Source organism: Homo sapiens, chromosome 20 (assembly GCF_000001405.40).
Source record: "Homo sapiens chromosome 20, GRCh38.p14 Primary Assembly".
Taxonomy (NCBI): Eukaryota; Metazoa; Chordata; class Mammalia; order Primates; family Hominidae; genus Homo; species Homo sapiens.
In genome coordinates this window covers 58,812,906-58,825,181 of record NC_000020.11, presented here as the reverse complement: position 1 = coordinate 58,825,181, position 12,276 = coordinate 58,812,906, and the positions used below count along the sequence as shown (strand labels likewise).

At 54.5% G+C, this 12,276-nt stretch overlaps 3 non-coding genes across 8 annotated transcripts in view, besides 1 other annotated feature; all 3 read left to right on the top strand.

Moving 5' to 3' along the window:
• GNAS-AS1 (GNAS antisense RNA 1) overlaps positions 1–6,264 on the top strand; it is a 31,985-nt gene extending 25,721 nt beyond the window's left edge. For 5 of the 6 annotated variants that reach the window (NR_185849.1, NR_190184.1, NR_185847.1 and 2 more), the window contains one exon: positions 5,927–6,264. This is a non-coding gene — a non-coding RNA (GNAS antisense RNA 1). Of the gene's footprint in view, positions 1–1,108; positions 4,562–5,926 lie in introns of those variants that run through there. The other variant, NR_185848.1, reaches the window with a different exon arrangement.
• MIR298 (microRNA 298) lies at positions 6,869–6,956 on the top strand. Its single transcript, NR_030580.1, has one exon. It is a non-coding gene; the product is annotated as a microRNA 298 (primary transcript).
• MIR296 (microRNA 296) lies at positions 7,488–7,567 on the top strand. The gene has a single exon (NR_029844.1). It is a non-coding gene; the product is annotated as a microRNA 296 (primary transcript).
• Positions 11,487–11,986: an enhancer, noted in NCBI's record as "H3K4me1 hESC enhancer chr20:57388251-57388750 (GRCh37/hg19 assembly coordinates)". NCBI's record gives its function as "activates a minimal SCP1, AML or CMV promoter by ChIP-STARR-seq in naive H9 embryonic stem cells {active_cell/tissue: H9 hESC(naive)}" and the evidence as "EXISTENCE:reporter gene assay evidence [ECO:0000049][PMID:30033119]".

The window sequence follows — 12,276 nt, the reverse complement described above, 5'->3', positions numbered from 1 at the left end:
AACGGGGCTAAATTACTTGGGGCACATTTTCTTCCCATGACATTTGTTGTCTAATAATAAGTCAACAGATGGAGTTGTCTTGATCTGCCTTTACCATGACATTTGCTCCCACTTCACGTGTTTATGTTTGCGGACGCAGCCAAGAGACAGTCGGTAGAGCTGTGTCCCAAGCCCCAGCGAGATGAGCCCGGGCACTTCTCACTTCCTGCTGGCATGCTCTGAAGCAGTGTTCCAGCCAGAAGGCCTCTCACAGAACCCATCCACTCACCTCTGTTCTCACTCCCAGCTTTTCTGGGGATTGGGTGAGGGGAGCTGGGTCTGTTCTCCCATAGTGCTCTCAGTTCTTGATAGGATGCCAGAAAGTACAATGCTCTCTTCATCAAGTTCAAAAGCAGGCAAAACCAAGTAATGCATGCATGATAAAATGTTTACAGCGAGCATATGATAAACTCAGCTTCTGCATTTGGTTTCTTCTGGCAGGGGAGACCACAAGGAGTGGGAGAAGGACATTCTGCTAGATGAAGTTCTTGGCTGTGTTCTTTCTCGGGTTGGGCTGCATAGGGTCACAGGGGTTGAATGATAGTATTTTTAAATACTAAATTTTAAAAGTACGTATTCGGACTGCCTCCATGGGTCAGTGGCATGGGACAGCTGAAACCAACCCAGGGCATTTGGGGGTGGGCCTGCTGTGCTATGGCAAAAGGAGGTTGTTTTGAGGCTGAGCTGCTGCTGACCAGCATGGTGGGACTTTGCTCACCTTTCTTCTTTCTATACAAATTAAGAACCCTCAGAAGAGTTCTTAGCACATATTAGGCCCTCAGTAAATATTTGTTGAACAATTTTTCACATGTGTATTTTTAAACTTGTTGTTATGGAAATTTTCAAGCACACCAAGGCAGAGAGGAGGCCAGCGCAGCTGCGCTGCCCGTCAGCTTCTGCTGCTCTGGTTTCCTCTGTCACCACACCTTTTCTTCTGGAGCCCTTCACAGCAAATCCCAGAAATCATAGTGTTTCACCCCTGGCAGTTTTGGACAGTAGACTGGGTTCTTCTCTTCTGGATTTGTGGCTCTGATCCACCTAACAGTTCGTTCTTCATGGGTTCTTTTAGGATATGTTGAAGCCGACCTCTTCCTCCCCAAAGAGAGCGTGTCAGGAAAATGAAGCCTTTCTCTGTATCTCCCTGTGGGGGATTTCCTCGCTGCATAGGTGTGTACTTGGCTGCATGTTTGTGCTGGGCATTGTGCTGGACCTATGTATCGATGATGAGAGAAGAAGCCTGTGGCCTGGGGCCTCCATGCAAATGCAGGCTGATGGCGCGGTTAGGGGAGCAGACCCTTGTTCCTGTGAGCACTAGGAGTGCTCTAAAGCGACCACTCATCTTTTGAGCCCCCTTTCACGACTCCCAAGTTGATCATTGGTGATTTCCCCCATTGCCAAGTCAGAGTGGACATTTTCAGCAGACAGTACCCCAGCGGACTGCAGCTCTGCCCCTTCTGACAGAAGGCACATTGGGAACGTGCAGAGCCCACATCCAGGGTGATGGCAGTTGTCACCATCCATGTGGAAAGACCTGGCCCCGGCCAGCTGCTGGGCCTCTTTGCACTGTATTAATAGCAAGGCCATGGGGCCCACTGGGGTCGGGAGACGGGGGGGATGGAGGACAGCTGTGGCGGACATCACCGCATGCTCCAGGCACGTGCGCCCGTCACAGGCATACAGATGGCCACACCTTGACCTGCCTCTCCAAAGCCCCCCAAGCCCCTGCCAGCCTTCTCCTTGTAGGGGCAGGAACTGGCTCGCACTGATGACCCATTTGACAAAGGAGCCAAATTAAGAATGGCATGATTGGAATAGAGGGTTCCAGTGGCCCCGTGTTCAGGGTCAGTTTCTGCTTTTATTGGACGCACAGGCATGGGGGCCGAATGAGGCAGTGGTATTTAAACAGCTGGGGATATTAGGTTCTATACGCCAAGGCTGGACAGATATTTTTAAATGTCACAGGCCAAATGGAAGCTCAGTTGGCAGCAGGATGGAGGGGCAGGGGGATTTGGAGGCCACTGCATTGCCGTGGCTAGATATGGCCAGGAGAGCTGAGTGGGATTAAGGCTTGGGAAGAAGCCAGCCTGGGAAGTGCCCGTGAAGAGGGAGCAGGGAGGATCATATGAGGAAACAGTAGGCGCCAGGGGTGGCGGGCAGGCAAGAGCGCAGGTGCTGGGGCCAGGGGCGGACAGAACTGTGTGAAAGCACCAAGGACAGGGCCAGAGGAGCCAGGTCAGAGCCCAGCCCTAGGTCGGGAACACGTAGGGAGCAGAGCTGGTGGTTCAGGGCCCTGTTGTGGCATCAGAGAGATGTGAGCGCTAACCTCAGCACCCTGCTTTCCACTCCGGGGCCTTGGGGCGACTTATTTATCTGCCAAGGCAGTTTCCTGACTTCAGGGAAGGGGCCAGGAGAGAATTAAGTAAGAACAAGCAGCACCTGACACTCAGAAAAGTGTCCCTAAATGTTCGCCACCTTTATTAATAGTACAAATTAATGGGTGACCAGCCTCCATTGTGGGATGGAGCCGGAAGCTGCTCTCCAGGCCTGCTCTCACCCAGATACATGGTATGTTTCGACCACACAGGAGTTCTTTTAAGGATGAATGATGATGACCGCCAACGTTTAGGTGTCCGCAGATTTTACAGAAGCCTTTGGCCATTTGACTTCTCCTGGTCTAGTGGAGCCTCTAGTTTTCTGGGGCCTGCCTCTTCCTGTCCATAGACAACCGTAGCTGGGGTGCGGCCGCCCCCTTTCGGCCAGCAGCACACACACCCCTGTGCCTGCCACCACTTGTGCCTGTCACTCATCTCTGAGTGGGGCCTGGCCTCCTTAGGCATTTGCACTTGTTCTCCCTGCAGTAAAGTGGAGCTATTATTATCTTATAAGAAACAAGGGTCATCATCAGAATTGGGCAGGGACCCAGCAACTGAGTTCTGGCCGGGGCCTCCTTGCCTTTGCTGTGACATTGGTCTGGAAGACCTGGGCTGATGGATGAGCATTGAATGGCCGGGTCTGGGGAGCCATCATGGCTGCCTGCCTTCCTCCTGGTGGGCCCCTTAGTAAGCTGAGCAGAAACACAAAATGGCTAGGGCAGTTACCATAGCCACTTAACGTCTGTGCATCCCTCGGCCTCCCTCATTCTCGTCGGGATAGGGATGACTTAGGAAAGCCAGAGGAGGCCCAGGCTGCTATGAAACCTGGGCCTTGCTTTTCAGCACAAGGATTTCAAGAGGAGAGGAGGTGAGGGAGGAGGGGAGTTTCTGTTGGGGCTGTTGTGGGCCTCAGGCGGCCCCTGAGTTAATCCGTATTCGTATTCAGAATTCCCTCCTTTTCCTTAGTGGGTCAGAGTTCTCTCTTGCTCATCCAGGCCTCAGAGAAGAATCCATGGTAGTTGTGACCACAGCTAGGCCTTAACTCCTTCAGAGCCATGTACATGAAGGCTCAGAAGATCCCCTCATCTTCTGAAGAAGTGTGAGTCTCCTCCTGTAGGCTTCCAAGGGACGCTAGGGTTAGCCATACTTGCACAGCCTGCCCCACACTCAGGCTTCTTGGCACAGAGAAGCCCTTCCTCTTACTGATTTATGGTGCCTACCATGTTCTAGGCATTAGAGAAATGCATTAATTTACTCTTCATAGCAAACATATGGGAAAACTGAGGTACGCACAGGTCAGATAGCTTGCCCAAGGCCACACAGCAGGAAAATCGTGGAGTCCGGATTTGAACTCCAGTGGCTGGTCAGGCTCCAGAGGTCGCCTTTCAAATGCTGCCTGGAAAATGATGGAGCTGATGGAGGAGTCCGAGGTGATGGCTCTGGTGAGTCAGGAGCCTGCCAAGTCACAGGAGCTGGGGAAAGAGCACACTGGACAGAGGGGACAGCCAGTGGAAGGGCCCTGAGGTGGGAAAGAGCTGGCCATGAGCTGTAGGGAAGCAGGAAACCAGTCTGGCTGCAGGAAGTGAGCAGGGGCCAGGGAAGGAGCTGGGGTAGCTGAGGAGGCAGCACCATAAGGGCAGCCCACGGCCATGGCACTGGGGTCTGATTGCAAGTGCAGCGGGAAGCCCTGAGGCTTCTGAGCAGGGCCCTGCTGGCTTGAAGGTCTCCCTGACTAGGAGATGGGATTCTTGTGGCAAGAAGAGAGCGGGGAGAGCAGGAGCTGAGCTGCCCCACATTGGGTAGCTGGGGTCTTTTCACTGAAGGGGATCTGATATGGTTTGGCTCTGTGTCCCCACCCAGATCTCATCTTGAATTGTAACTCTCACAATTCCCACGTGTCATGGGAGGAACTGGGTGGGAGGTGATTGAAGTATGGGGGTGGGTCTTTCCTGTGCTGTTCTCATGATAGCGAGTCTCATGAGATCTGATGGTTTTAAAAAACGGGAGTTTGCCTGCGCAAGCGCTCTCTCTCTTTGCCTGCTGCCATCCATGTAAGATGTGACTTGCTCCTCCTTGCCTTCTGCCATGATTGTGGGGCTTCCCCAGTCACATGGAACTGTAAGTCCAATTAAACCTCTTTCTTTTGTAAATTGCCCAGTCTCAGGTTTGTTTTTATCAGCAGTGTGAAAACGGACTAATACAGGGTCCATCTGGGAGAGGCTGCCTTTCTCTGAGGCCTCTGGCTTGGCAGTGTAGAGAAGGTTCACTAGTGCTTCTGGAATCTTCCTTGGCCCTTTGGGACTCAGCCTATAGTCAGAGCTGGTTCCTTAGGCCTTAGGTGGGGCACCCTTGGAGAGCTCCCTCGGGTAGGTGTCCAGGTGCCAGGTATGGCTCCGGTTACTGTGGTGCCTCCCTCCCTTCGTCTACCTGGTGCTTCTAGAGGCTCGGCTCAGCCTCGTCTTGGCAGCTGGGCCAGGAGGCAGGGCTCTGTGGGTTTCCCATGTATATTTCTTGATAGGTGAGAAAGTGAGCCCCACCTGTGTGGCTCAGCGGTCAGCACCTAAGGCCGCATCTCCAGTTCCACGACAGAAACACCAGGTCATGTGCATGGGTGGCTGGCGCACACCATCAACACCGTGAAGGCATCTCTTTGCCATTCCTGGTGCCCCCACTGGAGCGGGCGTCTGAACTCTGGAGATTGAGAACCTGGGGGCTCTGGTGGGGCACAGAGTGCCCAAGCCCCTCCCCACTAGATGGCACGGCCGCAGAGGCAGTACGGATGAGCATTCAGCACCCCTTTTCTGGGAGGGTCACCTGGGGCGGGGTGCGAGGACCCCTTTGCCCTGGGCACCTGTTGGACCTGAGTCCGGGTCCCAGCTGTTCTACCTCACACTGAGGTCGTGGTCACCTGTGTGGGTCTGGGTTTTTTGTCCGTGACAAAGGTTGGGACCAGAGGTAGATGGGTTTGCCTGCTCTATTGTTTCATGATGGAAACAATCCTGGTTGGTTGCCTGGTTTCTGCTTGGGTTCCCATTCCTTGCCCCGGCCCTACAGGATCAGTGGAGCACCATAGCCCTGCCTCCTTTCTCTGGCCAGCCAGAGGGCTTCAGAAAAGGCTTATCTAAGCCTGGCTTCTTGCCCTCTGTTCTTGAGGGCCCTGAAGAATTTGACTCTGGCAGATGGCTTCTCTCAGATCAGACACAAAGGCCTTGGAGATTGGGACTCCACACCCATTTCATTGAAACCTGCTCTCCCCCCATCAGAAAAAGGGCCATGTTTTCAAAACCATAACTGCTTCTCTCTTAAATCAACAATAAACAACAGCCTAAAGATTGCCCGTGAAAGTAAGTTCCACTGATGGCCGTTCTGGCCGTTGGAAGCAAGATATCAAGTTGGAGTGTGACCGCAGGCGATCATGCCGCAGGTGAGTGTGTGTGCGCCTGGTTTCATTTCTGTTGTTAATCCTTTGCCCTGTTTTTCTCTTTGTTTTTATTCCAAACCTGTCTGCTCCCAAGGGTCCCTGTCTGCTTCCAAGGGTCCCTGGAACCTTCTGCAGCTGTGCCTCTCCAGAGCTCCGCCTCATTAGTGCCACGTTCCTGGTTTGAAAACCATAGTACTTCAACCTCTTCTAGATGGGAGTTAACCTTTGCCCTCTGAAAGAAAGGTTTGATAAGCAAAGAGAGTTTGGTGAGCAAGATCCTTGAGGTAAGAGCTGATCTCTGACGTCCGCTGGGAACTGGCTGCTCTGCAGGTTTCTGTATCACATTTTCTGCACATGTCCATTAGAATTGGAGATGGGGCGTATCTAGTGTTGAATAAAGGCCCGGCAGGCCCTCCCAGATGCACCCTGTCAGACAGAGCCTACTGTGGATTCTTTAGAAATGGCTTGACTCATTCTTGGTGGCGACCACACCACCCACAGGCACCTAAAATGAAAGGATTTTTGTTAGCTGGTTACCACCAAACCACCTCAGGCAATACGTGGGAGACTCCAAACCAGCTGCTGTTAAAAAAAAAAAAAAGGCAGCAGAGCAGTCATAGAACAGACCCTTCTTACTGCTGCATACAAGATGATCCCATGGAATGCAGGCAGCCACAGCTTTGTCCACATGTGCTCTGTGTATCTGGGGCTGCTAGGCTGGTTAGATTTGTGGTCTTCTTCCTCCTGTGGAGGACCCTAGAGAGAGCCAGCCTGAGCCCTCACCGTTGTTCCTTCCCCGGCAGCACTTACAGAATGATCCTCTAAGACCTCCCCTCCAGCCCTAGCTGGGTTCCTAATTTTCCAGCTATTTAATATCTTCTTTATGTCTCAGTGAATGTTCCCAGGCAGAGTAGCCAGACAGACTCATACTGACAGTTCTCAACAGCCAGTCCCATCCTCCTAAAGATCTCCAGAATCAGCCACATGGACCTGATGCTAGAGGCCTGTCAGCACTGGGGGACCCGGGAGAAGCAGCTCAGGTCTTCAGCAGAAGCAGGGAGGTTCTCCCAGTGGTTTTCCTTGACTGTGAGGAACTAGCCTGCTGCTTTGCTCAGGAGTGAGCTGCCGGCTCCCCTTTGATGTGCTGCGTCTGTTCAGAACTAGGCAGGGGTGCTTCACCGTGGCAGCACTTGAGTTAGGCAGTGGTTCATGGACTCTTCTCCCAGGGCCCCACACAAAACACTGTTAGCACAGACCTGCCACTCAGATCAAGGTGGCCAGCAGAGCCATCAGAGAATAGCCTTCAGAAGATGAATGGCAAGGCCAGCCGGCAGCACGTGAGGCCAGGGCAGAGACGCAGTGAACCGTTCCATGGCGCCCCGAGCCTGCTGCCAAGGCCTCCTTGGAGCTGAGATGGAGGCGGGGTGGCTGAGAGGCAAGCTGGATGTGCATGTTTGGGAAGAGGGCTCCGTAGAAAGTGCTGTAGGGGCCTTGGCTGGGGACCACGTGAGCCCTTGTGCGGAGAGGGCCTGTGTCTGTGGATCTGGGGTCCACCACAGGCCACTGAGATGGGACAGGGCTGGGAGGATTGAGGAGGGAAGATCCTGAGTGAAATTGTGAAATCAGGCCCAGCCTCATGTGGGAGGTGAGGAGAAAGGACCCTTCCAGAGGGCCCCCCCTCAATCCTGTTGTGCCTAATTCAGAGGGTTGGGTGGAGGCTCTCCTGAAGGGCTCTGAAGAGCGCTGCACCCGCAGCTGTGTGCCAGGAGTGGAGACAGGACAGTCGATACAAGAGGGGCCCCTGTCATGTCAGCTGCTGAGTCCCCTGGGGCGGCCGGGCACTGGGGAATGGTGAACTCGCCGTGCCGCGCCTCTGCCACAGTCTCCCGTGGGTCCCCACTGCCGGGAGTTTTACCTACCTCCCACCCTCAGCCACGAGCACCTGCAGGATGCGGTGCCATCCTCGCCGGTGCCCGCTCCCCTTCCGGAGGCTCTCTCCACCCTCACTGACGCCTCCTCGGGAAAGCCCCCGCTCCTTCCCCGACCTCACAGCATGCCAGGTCTGGGGCTTCCGCTGGGGGGCTTACCTGTTTTCCACCCCTGCTAGACTGGGAGCTCCAGGGCAAGGCCGTAGCTGCCTTGCGGATTGTTACGTTGTCCAGCTTGTCTCCACACGTGATACCCAGCAGGTGCCTAATAAACTTGTGTAGAAAGAGTGGTGGATGTTTGCTCTTGTATTTACTCTTCATAGAGCCCAGCTCTGCTTGCTAGAGTCCTCGAAGCAAGTGCGCAGTGTCTGACGGTCTTGGGTTGCTTCTGACTCATGGTGGCTGCTTGGGGGTCATGCTGGAAACATGGCACCCTCAACTCCTGCGTGGAACCAGTTGCCCCCACTGTGATTCCTCTTGCTGCGGCTGGCCCTGCCTTCATGGCATTAGCGCAGCGGGGAGTTGCGGGCTCACTGTCTTAACACCTGTCTCCCCCACCAGACTAAACCCCAAAGGGCAGAACTCTCTCATACACTTAGGACGGAGCAGGTCTCAGGTTATTGCTGGACGGACCAATGGATGAGTGGATGGACAGAGCAAAAAGATGAAAAGACAGGAAGGCAACTGGGGTGTGACAGGCAGGGTGGCCTGACGCTCCCTGTGTGGACAAGACTTGGTGGGAGGTGCCGGGCATGGCTAGGAGGACTTGGGGTGCAAAGTGTCCCCACATCTGTCCTGAGGGCAGAAGCAAGGGTGAGCCTCCCTCCTGCTAGAGCTGGCGGAGTCTCCAAAATAGAGTCCGGACCTGCAGGAACAGTGGCCCTTCCCAGTGCAAGAACGTCACTCAGAGTTGAAAGTTCTGGGGTCTCAGGGACCCCTGAAGTCCATTCTTGAGCCCTTCCCGTGGCTGTGGCCTCCCCTTAGGCAGGGGAAAGGGGGCCAGTGGGGAGCTTCCCCAGGGGCCTCTCTGCAGGAGGCCGCTGGGCACATGGTGGCCCCGCGCTGGGCGCTGTCAGCAGAAGTGCCTGGATCCAGACCCTGGTGGAGACAGCAGGCCAGGAAACCAGTGGCCCCTCTGCCCCCCACTGGGGCCCCATGAGTTACACCAGCCAGGCCCCACAGCTGAGGTACCAGGCGGAAAAGGCCTTGTGTGAATGGGGCAAGAGGCCAGGGGCGCTGGGGAAGGCCAGGAAGAGAGCAGAGAGGCCTTCACTCACACGCAAGCGCACGCCCCAGGGGCTCAGGCCTTGAGACATAGCTTGAGGTGGGGGTGTGGGGGGCTCCCTGCTTGTTCCCGCTAAGGCTGGCACCCCAGCCCTCTCTTTTGGGTGTCCCCATGCCTGGGCTGTGCCGTAGCACAGTTCATGGGAGCCCTGCCCCCAGGCCCTGCAGCCCTCACTGCCCCCAGCCCTGCTGCAGGGTTGGCCTCCCTTCTGTCACCCCACCTGCCACTCGCCCCTCTGTCTCGGGAAAACCCACTGTGATTCCTTTCCAAGGCTGACCTTCCTTCTGGTGGCTTCTGCCCCATTCCAGCTCCCCTTTCCCCATGGGATCATTAGACACCGAGCCCTCCCGAGGGCCCAGCCATGTGGGTGGAACACGGCAGTCACAGAAGAGGGAAGAGCCCTTTCTGCATGGAGCTTGCTTCTGGAGGGGAGAGACAGACCACCAACAGGAAGTGGGTGGGCTGTGTCGTGTGTGGAAAAGCGGCATGCTGGGAAATGAAGCGGGGCAGGGGAGCAGCAGCGGCTCTCCCAGGCTTCCCTCCTGCGGCATCTGTGCACCCCAGGCCTTCACCCTAGCACTGCTGACCTTCAGGGCTGCTTCCATCCCTGGTGGGGGCCGTCCTGGGGATTATAGAGTGTTCAGCAGCTCCCCGAGCTAGATGCTAGGAGCCACCACCACCAACGCCAAAAAAAGATAGATGCATTTGCCACCTGGCTGGTTGCTCTCTGTAAACGTGAGCTAAACTGCTGGCCCAGGATCGTTGACATAGAGAAAATCTGTGACTTCCCGGGAGTCCTGGTGATGTGTGATGTGTCGCTTAATACAGAGTCTGGTGGATAGAGAAAGACTTGTCTCCATAGGTGTGCAGAGAGGGTTAGTATATGCCCTTTTATTGCCTGGTTCTTTCCAGGGGCTCCCAGAGGACCTTGAAGCAGTGAGGCCACCCAGGCCTTAGTTGGTGGCGCCATTCTCCCATAAAAGGAACCAGGCTTTTGGTGAAAATCGCTTATTCTGGCTGAGCATGGTGGCTCGTGCCTGTAATCCTAGCACTTTGGGAAGCTGAGATGGGCAGATCACTTGAAGCCAGGAGTTCAAGACCAGCCTGGCCAACATGGTGAAACCCCCATCTCTACTAAAAATACAAAAGTTAGCTGGCCGTGGTGGTGCATGCCTGTAGTCCCAGCTACTCGGGAGGCTGAGGCACAAGAATTGCTTGAACCCAGGAAGTGGAGGTTGCAGTGAGCTGGGATTGCACCACTGCACTCCAGCCTGGGTGACAGAGACCCTGTTTCAAAAAAAAAAAAAAGACTTATTCTTTGGTTGGAGCAAAGACTGCGAGGTGAGCCTGGAGCATCATGTGGTGTCAGGAAGGAAGTACCCCAGCAATGGCGGCAGGTTTCAGGGACACAGGAGCTGACAGAAGGAGCTCCCAAGGGTCACAGCTGGGACATGGGACTAGCAAAGCAGAACTGGACTGTGACCCAATGCATAGAATATCCACAGGTCCAGACTGATATAAATCATTCAATAAGTAGATGGAAGAGACAAATCTCTTGCACAGAATAATTCCAAATAATTCCGGTAGATACTTCCCCTCAAGGAGATAGAACGTAGCTCCCCACCCCTGAAGTATGCACAGTGCTTAGTGACTTGCTTCCAAAGAGTACACATTGAAGGTGGGAAACGGTCTTCACTGAGGAGAAACCTGGGCAGCTGTGTCTTAGCCAGCTGGAGGCCCGTGTCATCAGGGATCCTCCTGTGCCTAATACATACCCTGGATACCACATGGTCTTCCTTCCCCAACTGCATCATCCCAATGTAACCATGAACCAAACATCAGATCACCCGAATTGTGGGACAATCTACAAAATACCTGACTGGCACTCCTCAAAATGGTCAAGGTTATCAAAATCAAGGAAAAGCTGAGAGACTCAGCCAAGCCTGGAGGAGCCTCAGGAGATGTGATGATGAAATGTCACGTAGGCTTCTGGATGGAGTCCTGGAGCACAGAGAGGGCATTAGGGAGAAGCCAGTGATGTCTGCACACTGCGCGGGCTTCAGGCAATACTGTTCATTCGTGGTGACAAATCACATGGCAGTATAAGTGGTAGAACCTGGGTGTTGGAGACACAGAAGCTCGGCACTAGCTTTTCAACTTTTCTGTAAATCTAAAAGTTTAAAATAAAAAGTTTATTTAAAGTGTGTGTGTGTGTGTGTGAGATATAAACAGTTGTGACCCAGCACTCATGAGCTAGGAGTGGTGCAGGCAGACTCTAAACAGAGAAACGGAGGCATCACGCCTTCTGGGAGAGATTGGTGCTACAGAAAAAAACAGGGCTGTGAAATTGCAGCCTGCCCCCAACACCCTCACACCTGATGCTCTGATCTCCCACATGTGAGCCAGGGGAAGAGGAGAGCAGCAGGCAAGGTCAGAGAAGGTGAGTCCCCTGTGGGCCATGGGAGGGACACAGAGATAATGCCCCTCCACCTACATGGTGGGGACATTCTGGGATGAAGGGGTATGGGGGAACATAGCTGCATGTGGAGTGTGTGCACACGTGTGCAGCATTTGTGTGCACATGTATTTGTGTGTGTGAGTGCACATAACAGTATGTGTGTACACTTGTAGCATCTGAACTTGTGCAGTGTGTGTGTGTGTGTGTGTGTGTGCGCGCGCGCATGTGGGAGTGACATGACCACGCCCGTAATGGGTGAGCAGAAGCTCCTTTTCCCGGCAGCTGTGGCAGCTCAGGTGAGAGAGGATTACGGGGGGGCGACATGAGGAAGGTGGGGAAGGTGGGTGGGCAGCGCAGGCAGTGAAGGAAGGGTCAGTGTCCAGGAGGCACCTGGGGCTTTGGCTGGAGCCACAGATGTGCAGTGGGTGAGATGGAGGGGGTGGGTGCTGGGTTTGAGTGGGGGTGCAGGCAGGGCATTGTGGGGTGCCCTGGAAGCTGCTGCATGCTCCTGTTTACAGTGTGGGACACGCTGCTAGGGAAGACCCAAGCTGCCTCCAAAACGAAGGCCATGGTCAAGAGACTCGCTGGCCAGCTGGGGCCGCCTAGCAGAGATGTCCTGGGGCCTGAGGCTCTGTCGGTCCCGCCTTCCTGGCTGTTGGCAGTGGTTTCCACAAGTCTAAGAAACCCAGAGCGCACTCCTGGCAGAAGGAGAGCCGGGGAGTCCTGCCTGCCCACAAACATCTTCCCACACTCCCCTGAAATTCTTCACTTTC